At 45.8% G+C, this 13,626-nt stretch overlaps 1 long non-coding RNA gene across 7 annotated transcripts in view; it reads right to left on the bottom strand.

The window, feature by feature from the left end:
• LOC105376205 (uncharacterized) overlaps positions 1–13,626 on the bottom strand; it is a 98,539-nt gene that overhangs the window by 45,228 nt on the left and 39,685 nt on the right. For all 7 annotated transcript variants that reach the window (XR_930217.2, XR_930218.2, XR_930216.2 and 4 more), the window contains one exon: positions 247–456. This is a non-coding gene — a long non-coding RNA (uncharacterized LOC105376205). The remainder of the gene's footprint in view (positions 1–246; positions 457–13,626) is intronic.

The following is a 13,626-nucleotide window of genomic DNA, read 5'->3' as shown; positions in this document are numbered from 1 at the left end:
CAGGCCAATCAAGGAAAATCTACCTCCCACAGCCTCCTGGAGAGAGATTTCTCAAGCTCTCCTGACTGAGTCAATGTCTGTTTTAGAAGGCAAAAGTCAAGCTTCTTGGCTCAGGACACACAAGCCCCTTTTAGGACTGGCCTGTCCTCGCTGGGACAGGCATCTCCCACCTACTCCTCCCCACCTGCCCACAGCCAGTGCTTGGCCACAGGGAAAGGTGAGCATCGTCTACCCGCTCAGGCTCACCTGTGGCCATACTGTAGCTGTTCTTTCCAGGCCAGTCCCTCCAGGCCAGTCCAACTGTCACCTCCTTGGCAAGGCCTAAGTCCCCTGGTTCCTCTGTCTGCCCAGCGCTGTGTTCTTAGGCAAACCACTTAGCCATTTGGTGGCTCAGTTCCCATTTTTGTAACTTAGAGATGATAATAGTACCTTTCTCCTAGGTTTGATGTGAAGATTCTATGAGATGAAATAAGTTAGCACTTAAGCAGGACCTGGCCAGACTCAGTGATTCATACATTTAACCATCATCATCATTCTATCTGGCCTGGATTCCAAGGATCCAGGAGGGAATTTGCTAGCAGGAGCTCCACCTGAACGGCTCAGTACTCAAGCTTCCATGCAGCAAAAGCCTCCTTGGTTGCCCCAACAGAGGGGTTTCCACCCTGCTTGGAACCCCACTGGTCTGTGTATGTGTTACCTTAAGGCCCCTGGCCCCTGCAGAGCAATAGTCTGTCTACACACTCTTCTCCCATTATACTGAGATAGAGATCGTTTCTGAAACTGAATGCTGACTGCCTCAATAATGAAAGAAAGCCAGGTGTGGTGAACCATGCCTATAATCCCAACACTTTAGGAGGCCAATGCTAGAGGATTGCTCGAGCTCAGGGGTTTAAGATCAGCCTAGGCAACTTAGTGAGAACCCTGTATCTACAAAAAAAAAAAAAAAATTGTAATTAGCCGGGCATGGTGGCACATGCCTGTAGTCCTAGCTCCTCAGAAGGCTGAGGCAGGAAGATCACTTGAGCCCAGGTGGAGGTCGAGGCTGCAGTGAGCAGCTCTCCAAAGGATCCTAGGGATTGGAGGATTGGATATTAGTCAGAACAAACCTTGGAAATTCTTTATTGAATATTTTCTAAACTTCTTATTCCAAGTCAGCACTCAGAAAATGGACTCCAACGTTCAAGACCAGCATGGGCAACATGGTGAAACCCTGACTCTACTAAAAGTACAAAAATTATCTGGGTGTGGTGAAGTGTGTCTGTAGTCCCAGATTCTTGGGGGGCTGAGTCAGGAGGATCGTCACTGCATTCCAGCCTGCGTGACAAAGTGAGACTCCGTCTCAAAAAAAAAAGGACTCTAGCTGGGCGCAGTGGCTCACGCCTGTAATCCCAGCACTTTGGGAGGCCAAGGCGGGCGACCACAAGGTCAGGAGTTCAAGACCAGCCTGACCAACATGGTGAAACCCCGTCTCTACTAAAAATACAAAAATTAGCTGGGCGTGGTGGCACACACCTGTAATCCCAGCTACTCAGGAGGCTGAGGCAGGAGAATTGCTTGAACCCGGGAGGCAGAGGCTGCAGTGAGCTAAGATCGCACTACTGCATTCCAGCCCGAGTAACAGAGAGAGACTCCATCTCAAAAAAAAAAAAAAAAAAAAAAAAAAAAAAGACTCCAACACTGTTTTAGTCTAAGATATGGACTCCCAGGCTATGTGTTATGAGCACTCTCTGAATGTTGAACGCCTTAAGCAATCATCTTAGTCTTCCCAACAATCCTTAAGGTAGTGTTTCTCAAACTTGAGTGCACATCAGAATCACTTAGAAGGCTTGTTGAAACACAGATTGCTGGACTCCACCCTCAGAGCTTCTGATTTAGTAGGTATGGGGTGGTACTCAGGCTTCCAGGTGATGCTGTTACTGCTGGTCTGGGAACCACACACCACACTTTGAGAACTACTGCTAGAAGGAACTATTCTCTCATTTTACAAATGAAAAAACTGAGGCTCAGAAAGATTCAGCAAATTGCCTACAATCATATGATGTAGAAGATAGTATTATGAGCTGACCTAACAGCATTTCTCAAATCTCTCTTGCTGCTTTCCAGAATAGAAGTTGGAAATGTTCATAATTCTTTTCCAACATTCCTTGCAGTTAGGGATGGCTAGGCAACATTACTCCAATGAATATATCCTTCTTCCTGCCTAAGATGCTGACAGTGTGCTTTTCTCCCACAAGAGCCACATACTAGAGACATGGAGCAGAAGAACAAAATAGCCCTGGTCCTCAGTTATTGGCAGTTGACCCAAGGATTCCAACACTACTGAATAACTTATTGTTATGTATGAAAAATAAGCCACTATTGGTTTAAGCCACTGTTAGTCAACCTTTCTGTTATTATAGCTGATGTCATTCCAAATAATACACATAAGTGATCAATATTGGGGCCAGTATTGACACCTGAATCTGTCTAACCTCATACTCATTCTTTACACAACCCATACTGTGACTGGAAATAGAACTCTTGGCCATGAAGTACTCAACAATCCCTAAATCTCTTAACTTCCCTCTAATAGTGTTCCTCAAATGGAAGTGGCTTGAGTGCTTAATCTCAATCCCAAACAAAGGAATTAGATGTGTCTTGAATCTAACCAATGTCCTATGACTGACCCAAGTACAAACATGCCTTTAGGTTCTTACTACTCAAAGTGTGGTTCACCCACCAGCAGAATCACCTGGGAGCTGGTTAGAAACACAGAATCTTCAGCCCCATCTCAGTCCCACCAAATCAGAATCTGTATGTTAACAAGTTCCCCACGGGCTTCGTAGGCTCATTAAAGTTTGAGCAGAGTTCTAATTCAATCAGTGGTTCCCAAGACTGACTGAGTGTTAGAATCGCCTGGAAATCTAAAGATAAAATCAAGAGCCCTGGGTCTCACTCCTGACTTACTGAATCAAAACTCTACTTGAGTGGGAACAAGAAACCACGTCACTAGTTATTTACATTATTTCACTCAGGGACTATCTTGAGAAACTGATTAAAGCTATAGCCCTTCTTTCCGGGAACATATACACGTACATGAATTTTGCTTCTAATTTAAGGGATTCACAGGTCACTGAAGTCCATCCAGAGTCCTCCTAGGACCTCCTAGGACATGCGAACTCCAGAAAAGAAAAGAAGCCCTTTCAACAAGTCTGGGCAGTTACAGAAATGCAGTCAGGATCCTAATGAGAAGAGGCAGCCCAGCCCCTGCCAGCTGGGTAAGCTCCGGTTAGTTCTCACCTGAAGATGGTTTATGTAACCAGCTAGAACCCAAGGTCACAATTCAATTAGCAGCTTCTGCCACAAGTTTAGCTTTGTGCCCCCTGGGATTTCCATCACCCCAGATTACAGAGCTATTCATTTCATTTTCACCAAATTAACCTAATTCGCATGGAGGATGACTTCCTGCTCAACCACTGCCCACAAGGATGCCACAGAGGCAGGTGCCTCATTCAATTAGGAGATTTTGAAAAATACATGCAAAACATGCTTTTCAAAACAAAGTACTCAACAAGCAGGGGCAGAGTATCACCACCTCTCCCAACCAACTGGGCAGACCTAGTCTCCCTCAATCTACATATTTCTACTGCCACACTTATTTCAGCATTATATCATGTAATTGGATATCTGTTCTTTTAAAGGCTACAGGCTTCTGGAGACAAATGAAAGTTTTCATGACCATATTACTCTACCTAGACCTAGTATAGGACCTGCTACAAAGTAGGCACTGAAAAGATGATTGGGTTGGTGGGTGGGTGGGTGGATGGATGGATGTGGATGGATGGATAGGTGGGTGAATGAGTGAATGGCCTGATGGGTGGATGGATGGAAGGAAAGATGGATGGATGGATGGATGGATGGATGGATGGATGGATGGATGGATGGATGGAAGGATGGATGGATGGATGGATGGGCAGATGGAAAGATGAAGGATTATGCTCTTTAAATATAGTATAATAAAAAATATCGGAAGTTCAAGTCTATGAAATTCAGGTGCAAGTTCTACCATGCACTCAAAAGTTGTGAGGTCTCAGTCAAAGCATTTAACCTCCTTGATGAAATTTCTCTCTGTGAAATGGAGGCACTAACAACAATACCTGAATTTCTAAGGTTATTATGACAATTGAATTGGAGAATACATGGGAATGCCATATTTTAAGCAGGCCTCAGACAAGGACTATGGAAAGAGATGCATTCCAGAATCTGGCAGAGCTGAGCTCCAAGTCTGGCTTCATCACTGTCAGCTGTTTGACCTTGGACAAATATCATAAACTCTCTGCACTTGCATCCTCATTTGAGCAATGGAGATGGCAATAACTCCTCCAACAAAGAGGCTCTGAAGGAGGCACTAAAATTACAGAGTGTGTCACTTTGCCCCTTGCCTCCTGTGGTTGGATGGCTTCTGTAAGTTTGCAGAACTTCCAAGAAGAGGTGGTTGAGTAAGAAAAATGGCTGTTTCAATAAATCTGATCAAGCTGGGTAGAAAAGCATGAACCAGCAACCGGATCTCTGATTAGAGGCTGGAGAGAAAAGGGTGTGCTGGGAGAACTCTCATCATGTGGGCCTCACAATCTATCTAACATAAAGCTTTCATAGCCAAGTTTCACAATTTCCCACCACATGAGCAAACTTCATTTGCCTTGATGAGGCAATAACTGTGTGCATTTATTTATATATTTCCCTTTTCCTCCTCTCCCCAGCCTCCTCACTAATCCACTTGGCCTTTTTCTCAGGCCCTGCTTCAATCTTTCTCCTTCATAGCCTCAGAAGCAGTAAAGTTGTGTAGGGTTTGGGGGCTCAAGTCCTCGGTTCAGATACCACCTTCCACCTCCTGACTGCATGACCTCCACTTCCATGGGCCTTCGTTCCCTCTGCGTGGGGGTTATTCACTCCAGCCTGGGGGTGGGGGCTGCTGTCAGGATCAGTGTGCTATCTCACGGATGATATGGCAGGTGCTTGTGGATCATAGTTTCTCTCTTCCTCTGTGTGGGGAGGGAATCCAGCCAGAAGCTCAAAATGGATTTGTTTTGTTTGTTCAGGAATTAGGGAAAGTGAGAAACTCCCAGACCCAAACCAGTCTTGAACTGAAGTCTGGGAGTAGGGAAAGCCCTTTACTGCAAACACCTGTAGAAACATCCTGGTCTTTTACAAGCCTCTGGCGCCTTCCGCCAGGGTTGTGAGACCGATTGAGTTGGAAGGGCCAGCACCTGTGCACTCGGTGGCCCAGTGGCTCTCCATTCCTCTCTGCCTGGCTTTGCCCTGAACCCCCAGGTCAATTCAACCCAAACCATGGGTAAAGCAGAGCTCTAACAGAGAACGATCAGCGGAGATTTGTGACAGGGCTCTTGAAGGACAGTGTGGCAGGCTGGCCGGCCAGGTGCCCATTCACAATGTGTGAGTGCCCCACGCTCCAGGGCATGTCACACCATGCCCAGCCTCACAAGCACTGGGACCCTGAGAGAGTGTCCAGGGTCTTCTTCAGTCCCATCAGTCCTTCTCAGGATGAGGAGAGGAGGAGGAACTGCTGAGTGGCCCTGGACAGCTTGCTTAGAACCTGTGTGGTCTGTGATACGACATGCCATGCTCTTTTGCAGGCATTTTCATTTTACCTTTCCCTTACAAGGTAGACCCTGTTAGGCCCATTTTACAGATGAAGAAACTGAGGCCCAGGGAGATGTGAAGTGTTCAAGTGAACTTAGCTGGACAATAGCAGTTCCAGTTTTCTAATCTGTGTCTGGCTTCCTATCCAATGGCCTCCCTACTCCCCAGGAGCTACCAGACACTCAGTTCAATGATCTGTAATTTTTCAGTCCTTCTCCAAGTTTTCAGTGTCCTGGGCCCAGCTTAAAGGGCAAACGGGATGAAGAACGAGGTGCCAAGCAACAGAATATGCTTGCTAGCAGGTGATTTGGGGTTTCCTTCTGCATAGTCATGGGGCAGGAACACCCAGTCTTTGCCCATGGTAGCAGTGGCCAGGGCTCCTAGAAGTCATCCCAAAGCAGAAGACAGCACATGAGTAGTCCCCATCAATTCCTGAAATACCTTTAAGTCCCAAAGTTCACTAGTTGTCAATGACAGAGTCTCACATCTAGGAAACACCCATCACATAGCCAGCTTAGGCAAAATGAATGCCTTTCAAAGGCTATAGTACTAGCAGAGAAAAAAAACAAAAAAACTGAGCAAATGTGGCTTGGGTCTGTAGCCAAAATCCAATGTTAAATAACAGGCTGGGGGTGGGGAAAGAAAAGAAATAATTCATCAGTAGAATGATACAGGCAGTCCATGGGTATCACCAGAACTGCATTTTCTCACCATATAGAGTGGTTGTGTAATTTCCCCCATTTCTCTGTCAATAAGGGGCTAGTGCTATCGGTGAAATAATTTACAACCCAATGTGCTCCACTGTAAATGGGTGCTATGTTTACTGGCTGTAAAAACACCTCTGAACACACTGACCTTCAACAGGTGAGCCCTTGAGTTTATAGCACTGAAGAATTGTTTTACTGCCTCAGCACAGGCAACAGGCATGCTGGACACCTGTTGGGGGTGAAGGGTAGGGAATCAAGCCCTCTGGGGATTCAGGGAAAGGAATCCTAAGAACAAGCTGCCCCCAGTGTGAGCCAACCAGATCAAACAAACCTCCAGGTGTCTGGTCAGTGCTGGGTCCATGGTAAGCATCTGAGTCTTGGATGAACCCACTAAGCAAGTCCAGGCTAGAGACTGAGGCCTGCAGAGCACTTCCGGAATTGGAGAACCCTATGGAAGGCCAGTAGGATGGAGTCCAAGGCAGATCCTGAGGGAACTCCAAGCACTGAGCTGGGGGAACCTAAATAAATTGGTCAATATGAGGGGCAGGAGCAAGAGAAAGACCGAAGATAGGAATTACAGCCAAAGGCCCAATGTTGAACGAGTCTAGAACCCAGGCAAAGCAAGTTTTCTGCAAATAATTCATGAACCAAAGAAGCAGAGCCTCTGCCTTTAATGACGGCCACCAAAAGGTACGTGGGTGAATAGAGCAGACAGAAAAGGATAGGACTGGGGTGAACAAAAATGTTATTCTGGCCAGGAGCAGTGGCTCGCGCCTGTAATCCCAGCACTCTGGGAGGCCGAGGTGGGCGGATCGCCTCAGGTCAGGAGTTCGAGACCAGCCTGGCCAATATGGCAAAACCCCATCTCTACTAAAGCTACAAAAATTAGCCAGGGGTGGTGGTGCATGGCTATAATCCCAGCTACTCCTGAGGCAGGAGAATCGTTTGAACCTGGGAGGCAGAGGTTGCAGTGAGCCGAGATCATACCACTGCACTTCAGCCTGGGCAACTGAGCGAGACTCTGTCTTAAAAAAAAAAAAAAAAAAAAAAAAAAGGTTATTTCTTTCTCACCCTTCAGCTTGCTCTGGAAAGGTTTTTGTTTTTCCCATCCACGCCTTAGTATGGAGGTTTCAGAGAGGCCCCCATGGGGAGCACACTTCCCCAAAAGCCAATTACCAAAATGGCCAGAAGGATAAATGTGCCAGCCTCAGCCCAGCATATATTCTTTGAGTCTTCACCAGAAAGCTAAAGTGGCATTTGACAAAACCTCTGGAGTGTTTCAAACTATGTTATCAGGCCCAAATCCTGATGACAGACAGAAGAGTATAAAAGAATAAAGATTTCCCAGATGAAAAGCACGCTTGGAGGGTCCTGAGCCCTTGCAGGCAGTGACGAAATCAAGGGCTGCATGCAGTTTGTTCACATGAAGAGCCCTGGAAGAAGGCTTCACACTCAGCAAGCGCCCTGGCCAAATGAGGAAGAGCCAAGCAGGCTGGCCTGAGGTTGCTCCATACCCTGGGCCTCTGGGGAGAAATCAGAGGAAGCAAACCGTTGTGTCCACACCAAATGAGAAACCTAGTGATTTTCATTCCCGGTGTTTTTAATTTTGTGCCTTTGAAGATCATCTTAATTTTTTAATTAAAAAAAATTACAGTTGATGACCTGCCAGTTCTTCACACACACAATTATCATTGAAAGCCAAGGGTCCCCACCTTTTTGCAAATAAACAGGCAGAATAATCTGTGAGAAGACCTCACGGCCAGGCAAGGTGGCTCATGCCTGTAATCCCAGCACTTTGGGAGGCCAAGGCAGGCAGACCACATAAGGCCAGGAGTTTGAGACCAGCCTGACCAACATGGCAAAACCCTGTCTCTACTAAAAATACAAAAATTAGCCATATGTGATAGCTCATGCCCGTAATCCCAGCACTTTTGGAGGCCAAGGTGGATGGATCACTTGAGGCCAGGAGCTTGAGACGAGCCTGGGCAACATGGTAAGACCCTATCTCTACTAAAAATACAAAAATTAGCAGGACATGGCGGCACACGCCTGCCACCCCAGCTACTCCGGAGGCTGAGGTATGAGAATCGCTTGAACCCAGGAGGTGGAGGTTAGCCAAGATCATGTCACTGCACTCCAGCCTAGACAACAGAGTGAGACTCTGTCCCCCCTGAAAAAAAAAAAAAAAGCCAACAGGTTGCTGGGGTTGGGGAGGGGTCCTTCATTCCTGTCTCTGCTCTCCCTACTGCACACATGTACAGGTGCAAACACACACTCACACGCACACACAAATACACCCCTACAACTCCCCAAACAAGACTTGTTCACCACCATAACCCAGCACCTAGCACTGGGGCAGGGATAGTGCAGCCACTCAGTGAATATTTGGCAAATAAACTGATTAATATATAAGGATATAAGAGAGCTAGAAACCAGACATGCAAGGAAGGGAGAGGAGAAAGAGTGACAAAGTGGGGGTGGCTTGGGATCCCACCCCCAGACGGTTCATCCATCTATTGGCAATAACAAGCCCTAGCATAACACCCTTCAGATTATAAAATCCAGACGCATCTCACATCACTTTTGATTCCCACCACTCCCCCTACTCCCAGGAGGTAAGGATCTTTGTGCTAATGCTAGGAAAAAAACTGAAGCAGAGGAAAGGTCTACTGGTTTGTTCAAGGTAGGAAAGAAAACAAAGCTAGGAACTAAAACTTCTGAAGTCAAAGCTTGGGCTCTGGGCCATGCACAGTGGTTCACGTCTATAATTCCAGCACTTTGGGAGGCCGAAGTGGGCAGATCGCCTGAGGCCAGGAGTTCAAGACCAGCCTGGGCAACATGGTGAAACCCCATCTGTACTAAAATTACAAAAAATTAGCTACTTGGGATGCTGAGGCAGGAGAATCTCTTGAATCTGGAAGTGCCTGTTGCAGTGAGCAGAGATCGTGCCACTGTACTCCAGCCTGGGCGACAGAGCAAGACTCCATCTGTGATGGTTAACGCTGAGTGTCAATTTGATTGAATTGAAGGATGCGAAGTATTGGTCCTGGGTGTGTCTGTGAGGGTGTTGCCAAAAGAGATTAACATTTGAGTCAGTGGGCTGGGGAAGGCAGACCCACCCTTAATCTGATGGGTATAATCTAATCAGCTGCCAGTAAATCTAAAGGAGGCAGAAAAACATGAAAACGTGAGACTGACTAGCCTCCTAGCCTACATCTTTCTCCCTTGCTGAACGCTTCCTGCCCTCAAACATCAGACTCCAATTTCTTCAGTTTTGAGACTCGGACTACACTCCGTGCTCCTCAAGTTTGCAGACAACCTATTGTGGGACCTTGTGATCATGTAAGTTAATGCTTAATTTATCTATCTATCTATCTATCTATCTATCTATCTATCTATCTATCCCCCTAGGAAACCCTGACTAATACACTGTCTCAACAACAACAAGAACAAAGCTTAAGCTCTGGTGGCTCCTGGTCTCTGAGTTTGGGACCCTGGTCTAAACCTATATTATTTAAGCAAGTGACTTCATCACAACCCAGGAAGACTGAAGACACTAATGTCCATCTATTCATTCCGTTACTTTATACAGATTTACTCTACACATAGCACCTGTTATGTTCCAGGTGTCTGAGGAGCTAGAGAAACCACAAGGAACAGGACAGGCACAGTTCCTATCCTCTCCAAGCTTACATACTGGTGAGAGAAACAGAGACCAAAGGGGCAAACAAAGAGACAGACAAGGTGATGGAATAGCAATTAATTGGGGATCATGAGCAGTGGTGTATGCCTGTAGTCCCAGCTACTCGGGAGGATGAGGTGGGAGGATCATTTGAGCCCAGGAGTTCAAGACCAGCCTGGCCAATAAAAAGATCCTGTTTCTTAGAAAGAAAGAAATTAATTGAAGTAGTCCCACCTGAATGGACAGCCAGGGAAAGACAGCCAAGGAAGCTTCTGAGAAAAAGTCATTTGAGCTAAGAGCTGAAGGGTCATTCCAAGAGCGATCCAAGCAGAGAGAAGGAACATGTGCCAAGTGTTGGAGACAGATGGGAGTTCAGGGCTTCCAGGATGAGAAAGGAAGCCAGTGTGGCTACAGTGTAATGAGTGAGAGAGGAGAATCTCTCTGTAGATACAGAGGTAAATGTAAGTGGAGATGAAGACAGAGGTGGAGATGATGATGGAGATCATCTTGCATTTGCCTGCCCAGCATTCCACGTCTTCTTCTTGCAGTAGAATGCTATTTTCTTTTCATCCTATGAGATTTGGATGGTATTGACTTCCCTCTGCAGTACCAGAAATCCATGCTTGGCTAATTGATTACTGCCTCCCCCCGCCTCTCCATCATCCCAACCAATTCACGAACCCACTCCCAGCATGTCGCTCAACCAGGCCAATAAACAAGACTTCAGCCAGACCTGTTGGTAAAGACGCAAACTGAACTGCTAGTGCCCATCTTACCACAACAGGGGGACAGCATGCATAAGAGTAACTCCCAGAGGCAAGCAGAGCTGAGAAAGTCCTGAGCTATAGTTTGACCCTTTGGACCCAGATGTATCCAGACTTTTCAGCTATGTAAGCCATTAAATGCTATTTTTTTTAAATATTTTGAGACAGGGTTACTATGGGGTTTCTCAAACTTGCAGCTCATGCATGATGCACGCTTACACAGTTATGCTGGCTGCTGAGTGGCAAATTGATTGAAGAAGGACAAAAGTGAAAACAGAGAAACGCATCAGGAGGCCACACAGGAGTCAGGAGAGAAGAATTAAATAATTTCACTAAACAGAATCCAGATTTTTGGAGCAAGTGATTACACTGAAACGTGTGGCTGTCTGTATACTGTACACTGCTCACAGATCAAGCCCACTCCATATGTTCAGGTGCCCATTTTGCACGTGAGCACTCTCTCTCGGCGGATCACTCTGAATGGCCAGTTCATTCTCATTCTCTGGGTCTCAGCTCAAATGACCCTTTCTCAGAGTGGCTGCCAGGAAAGCTATCCAAGTGGACTCTCCCATTATTTTCTATCCCATCACTTTGTTTATCTTTTCACAGCACTATCACAATGCATAATTATTTTGATTTTGTTTTTGTTTTTGTGTATATTTTTGTTTTTGTTTTGAGACAGGGTCTCGCTCTGTTGTCTAGGCTGGAGTGCAGTATCATGAACATGGTTCACTGCAGCCTCGACTTCATGGGCTCAAGCAGTCCTCCCACCTCAGCCTCCCAAGTAGGTGGGACCACAGATATTCACCACCATGCCCAGCTAATTTTTTAATCTTCTGTAGAGACAGGATCTCACTATGTTGCCCAGGCTGGTCTTGAACTCCTGGGCTTAAGTGATCCTCTTGCCTCAGCCTCCCAAAGTGCTGGGATTACAGGTGTAAGCAACTGCACCAGGCCCATAATTATTTTGTTTGTTTATTTGCTTATCCCTTTGGTCTCTGTCTCCCCCAGAGCAATGAAAGCTTGAGGAGAACTGGGGTCATGTTTGTCCCATTCATAGCTGTGCCTCCAGCTACTGAGCATAGCCTGGAGCAAACAGGTGCTCAACAAATACATGTTGACTACATTTTAATTTAATAACTCCTCTCCTGACAATTTACTCCGAGAAGTCAACTCAGAAGAAATTTTCAAAACACCATAGACATAGATAGTCGCCATAATCTAAAATGTTCAAAAAATAGCCGTCTTTAAGTGAGTGAATAATGGCATATCCACAAGGTAGCTACTACAGCCAGAGAAAATTATAAAGTATTAGAAAAATGTCCCAATATAGGCCAGGTGTGGTGGCTCATGCCTGTAATCCCAGCACTTTGGGAGGCCTAGGCGGGTGGATCACAAGGTCAGGAGTTCAAGACCAGCCTGGTCAACATAGTGAAACCCCTTCTCTACTAAAAATACAAAAAATTAGCTGGGCATGGTGGTGGGTGCCTGTAATTCCAGCTACTCAGGAGGCCGAGGCAGGAGAATCACTTGAACTCAGGAGGCAGATGTTGCGGTGAGCCAAGATTGCACCATTGCACTCCAACCTGGGCAACAAAAGTGAAACTCCGTCTCAAAAAAAAAAGAAAGAAAAAGAAAAGAAAAGGAAAAACATGGCAATATAGAATAGAAAATAATGTTAAGTGATAAAGGAAGGATATAACATCATACAGATTGTACCTATATTTAAAAATGAACATATACCTGTAATCAAAATCTAAACACATGTGGATCACTACAGGAAGGGAGGGTGTAAAAACAAACAGGTGATGTGGAAGTCATATAGATCCAGGGTTATTTTACTTGTGCTTTTTATTTCCTTACAAGTTGATTTTACAATAAACAGGCAATGTGGAGTTATGCAAAATGACCAGATTCAGAATGAAAAGCTGCAGAATGTTTGGGCTGTAGGAATCATGCCAACCTCCTAGAGCTGTTGTAAAGTTACAATGGGATCTTGGATTCAGAGGTACACAGCTCAGAACTAGGATAAATGTTTGATGCATAAATTTAATAATCATAATGACAATTACAATAAAAACATAATGCTAATCATCATTACATTATAAGGAGTATTATAACGAGATCAGGAGTTCGAGACCAGCCTGGCCAACATGGCAAAACCCTGTGACTGCAAAAATTAGCCAAGGGCAGTGGCGTGTGCCTGTAGTCCCAGCTACTTGGGAAGCTGAGGCAAAGAATCGCTTGAACCCAGGAGGCAGAGGTTGCAGTGAGCTGAGATAGCACCAATGCACTCCAGCCTGGGCGTCAGAGAGAGACTGTCTCAAAAAAATATCGGGGGGACCCAGAGAACTCTCTCCCACCCTCTCTTCGCCATGTGAGAGGCTACAACAGAAAGTTGGTAGTCTGCAACCTGGAAGAGGAACCGTGGCAGAACCTGACCATGCTGGCAGCCTGACCTTGGATTTTCAGTCCCCAAAGTGTGAGAAATCAATCTCTGTTTTCTAAGCCACCCAGTCCATAGTAATTTGCTAATAGCAGCCTGAACTAAGACAGACACTCAGCTCCAGTCACACTGAACTAACTGTTCCCCAAGTCGTCATGACCTCTCATGGCTGGTGAGAAGCCCCATCTCTGTGCTCTCTTAGCCCCTGTGTGTCTTATTTATAGGGACACTTAGATACTGAGTTTTCTGGGCTGTCAATCTGTCAGTCTCTCCCCCTAGTTCATGAGTCTCGCGAGGACTAGTGTCTGATTCATTTCAATGTCCCTTGTACCTATCGCTGAATCTAGTTCAATAAACCTGGGTTTAATTGAATGGAAATATAATAAA

The sequence above is a fragment of the Homo sapiens genome, chromosome 9 (assembly GCF_000001405.40).
Source record: "Homo sapiens chromosome 9, GRCh38.p14 Primary Assembly".
Classification (NCBI taxonomy): Eukaryota; Metazoa; Chordata; class Mammalia; order Primates; family Hominidae; genus Homo; species Homo sapiens.
The sequence above is the reverse complement of the archived record's forward strand: the minus strand, read 5'-3'. Positions and strand labels throughout refer to the sequence as shown.